Genomic DNA, 4,371 nt, shown 5'->3' with positions numbered 1-4,371 from the left:
CAGGTGAGTTCTCATGAGAGCTGATGGTTATATAACGGGCTTACCCTTTCATTTGGCACTCATTCTCTCTCCTGTTGCCCTCTGAAGAGGTGCCTTTCACCATGACTGTGTATTTCCGGAGGTCTCCCCAGTCTTGCAGAACTGTGAGTCAATTCAACTTCTTTTCTTTATAAATTACCCAGTCTTGTGTATTTCTTAATAACAGTGTGATAATGGACTAATACATTTTCCACTTAAGTTTATGGCCTATATTTAGTTAATTTGTCTATGTTGTGAGAGGTAAGAATTTAAATTTAGTTTTTCCCTTATGGATATTTTGTTTTTAAGATTTCCTTTTCCCTGTTGAATTGTCTTGGCATCTTTTTTAAAAAATCAGTTGATAATATATGTGTGGATCTTCTTCTGAACTCTCTACACTCTTTTATTGACCTATGTGGCTCTTTTTTTCTCACAGTACACCATTTTACTTATGTTCTTCATTTTTTTAAAAAATGCTTAAGTAATTCTAAATTCTATGGAATTTTATGATCACGTTTTCAATTTCTACCAAAAACACTGCTGAATATTTTATTGGGTTTGCAATGAACCTTTGGATCAATTAGGGGAGAATTGTTATCTTAAAAACACTGGGCCTTCCAATTTATGACCACAGTATATGTGTCTACATATTTATTATTTGATTCCTTTCACCAGTGTTTCATAGATTTTGGAAAGAAATAAAGGCCTACACATATTTTTTAAGATTACCAGCAGGTATTTCAAAAATGTTGGTGCTACTGTAAATAGTACTATATAGGCAGTCCCCAAGATTATTCCCAGGTTCAGTGATTGACGAGGAGGACTCTCAGGACACAGCATATAGTTGTATCCAGGACTATGATTTATTACAGAAAAAAATGTATAAAGCAAAAGGAGGCAAGGGAAAAGGCACATGGGAGAAAACCAGGCACAAGCTTCCAAGAGTCCTTTCCTGGGGGAATTACAAAGAATATGCTTAATTCCTCCAACAATAAATTGCAACAACCATGGATAAAATATTGTGTATCAGGGAAGCTCATTAGATATCAAATACACAGGGTTTTTATTGGGAGCTGATCATGTAAGCACCTTCTGCCTGGAATGTACCAATTCTAGACTCCCAGAAAGAACGCAAATATTCAATATGAAACATATTGTTTTCAGAAGCAATTTTGGCCTTGTGAATAATGCTTCTCAGGAAATGATGGGAACCCTCCTGGAATCCAATTTCTCAAAATTTAGACAAGAGCTAACATTGCAAATAGGTCTTTCTAAGGATAAGAGTCTCACATCTGCTGTGTTAACTCTTTTTTGCACAAGTGGTTTTAAAAAATTTTCATGTTTCAATTGCTTTTAACTAGTATTTACTAATACTGTGACTTTTACATAATATTGACTTGGCATCCTGCAACCAAGTATGGCTCACTTATTAGTTCTAATAGGTAATGTTTATAGATTCTTTGGAATTTTCTATGTCATATGTAGACTATGAGAATCATATTTCTTTTATTCAAATTTGCACATCATTTTATGATGCTATCTGGATAAGGCCCAGTATTTTCACCATTAGTATAGTGTTAATTGTAAAGTCGTTGTCAATGTGCTTTATCAGGTTGAGGAAGTTTCTTTCTATACCCAGTTTGCCAAGAATTTTAACCCATAATGAAAGTTAGATTTTGTCAAATAGATTTTCTATTGAGATGATTATATATATTTTTTCTTCTTTGATCGGTTGATATGGTGAAATACCTTGATTAATTTTTGAATATTGAGCCAATCTTGCTTTCTCAAGATAACCCTATTTGGTCATAATATGTTATTTTTTAATATATTTCTAGATTAGATTTTCTAATATTTTGTTATGGATTTTGGCATCTATATTTATGAGGTTTATTGGCATGTAGTTAATCAGGACCAGAACAACAATTAATCTAGGACTAATTATTCCCCACTATAACGTAAGAACTTTCTGGGTATCATCTTCACTGTTCGGTGAATAATGAGGCTTTCTAGTCTAGGTAGTGGGAAGAAGGATTATTCTCAACACTTTCTGTGAGCACCAAGCACTAGTCTCTCTAACCTTTGTCAATGGTTCTTACCCTAGCCTTTGGTATTTTTCTCATGTATGCACTAATTAGTACTCTCTTGTGCTCTTAAGATAGATCCTCTGCAGATCTTTGGAGTTTTCTTTCTGCAAGTTTCTCCTCGAATATTCTCTTCAGCAAACTCTAGCACTCTTTGGTCTTCTGCAATCTCAGTTCCATATTCCCACTGGGCTCTCCTTGGCTTACTCCTTCTTGTACCCCTCCAAGAAACGCTATCAGAGTGCTCACCTCACTTGCTTCCAGTCTTTCAGGGATTATTGTTCAATACCTCATTTTCAGTATCTTAAAAACCATTGTTTCACAATATTTTATGTTATTTTTCTTTGTTGTTTCAGGCAGGAGGGTACATCTTGTCCCTGTTTCTACATCTGGGTCTGAAGCAGAAGACCCAATCTAGTTCTTAATGTTTATTGTAAGTGGATTCTAAATCATGTTCTTCTCACTTAATTTAATTTCTACAATATTCAAATAAAAATATCAAAAGTAGAACTAAAATACAGATATTACATACCTCTCATCTGGTTTCATTTTATGATTTAGTGGTAACCAGCCTTTCACTTTCCTAGTATCAGCACAAATATTGAGCTTATTATTCTCCCATTGCCAGTTTGGATTAAGTTTTAGGAAACTCTTTAGTTATATAACAGATATCTCATCAAGTGAGCTGAACTATATTTTTGCTGAAGGCATCAGTTTATCTTTCCTATCACTCACTAGGATGTGATGATCTTTGTGAAATACTTAAAACAAATTAGAGAAAGTTATTATCTACACTTCTAAGTCCTGTATTGCTATTCATACATTTCATTCAATATGAATATTTTTAGGATAAATATATTTATATTATTAATAAAAGGTATTTTCTCTAGAGTTCTTAATAAAATAAAACCTAAAGACATCATGTATACGTTAAGTAAAGCAAAAAAAGCCAAGCCATAAGTTCAATTTAGCAGAAATAGTAATATTCCCAGGAGACACTTTTTAAAATAATAACAAAATATAGGAAAACTCAAAGATTACATGTGGGCAAATAAACAAATAAATAAAAGAGACTTTTTGTATGTGCTGACAAAAATAGAATGTTAATTATAAAATAAAACTGTATAAAAATGGTTCCAAATAGTTTTTAGACCAATTCAGTAGCCCTGCCCAAACCCATGTTTTACTATCATAATTGTCTTTCATTCACCATTTAAAAATAATATCATTTACTTCCAGTTGTGCTACTCATGTATCAATTCATATTTGTATTTCTAAGCAGAAATATGAATATCAAGACTTTCATTTCTAATCATATGAAAGACTAAATAACATAATATTTCTCCCTCAGAAAACAATTTAAAATGCTGGATAAAATATTCTTCTTGCTTTGGATAGGCACCTCTGGCCCATAATAATAAATAGGGTTTCTAAATGAGATCATGTGATTACTTCACATGAAAGAGGTTATTTAAATTACTAAAACTTTCCATTTTATAACCCAGAGAGTTACATTGCCTACATGACATTCTCCAGGGACCCATTCTCTATAGTTTCTGAATCTAATTAATCTTTTAGCCAAGGATATGTTGCTAAAGGCATTCCAGAGATCACGTCTCTATCCCTGAGAATATATCATTAGACCATTTATTTAAATATCTGATTGGCAAGATTAGCTAGATCATTTTCTTTCTTCCCATTTCCCAGTAGCATCCCCTCAATTCTCATAAAGAGTATGAATGAATCATAAACTAGCTGTTAATTTTTTAAATTGTATTTATTTATTTTTTATTTTCTGAGACAGTCTCACTCTGTCACCCAGGCTGAAGTGCAGCGGCATGTTCTTGGCCCACTGCCACCTCTGTCTCCCAGGTTCAAGCGACTCTCATGCCTCAGCCTCCTGGGTAGCTGGGATTACAGGCGTGTACCACCATGCTTGGCTAATTTTTTTTTCTTTTAATTTTTAGTAGAGATAGGTTTCACCATATTGACTAGGCTGGTCTTGAACTCCTAGCCTCAAGGGATCCACCTGCCTCGGCTTTCCAATAAGCTAGCTGTTTAACTACTTCCTAAAATATATCAACTCTGTAGGAACATATATCAGATATAATGCAAAGTGGGTATGGTAGAGCATTTTAAAGTTTGCTTATATTCATAATTTTAATGAATAAATAGACCCAAACCTGTTTCTATCTAATGAACCCTCAGAAAAGGCTGATAGGGTCAGTCAAGTAAATGTTACCTCTACTTCTCTATGGCTCTGCACATT

Source organism: Homo sapiens, chromosome 18 (assembly GCF_000001405.40).
Source record: "Homo sapiens chromosome 18, GRCh38.p14 Primary Assembly".
In the NCBI taxonomy this organism is placed as follows: domain Eukaryota; kingdom Metazoa; phylum Chordata; class Mammalia; order Primates; family Hominidae; genus Homo; species Homo sapiens.
Note: the sequence above shows the minus strand (reverse complement) of the source record.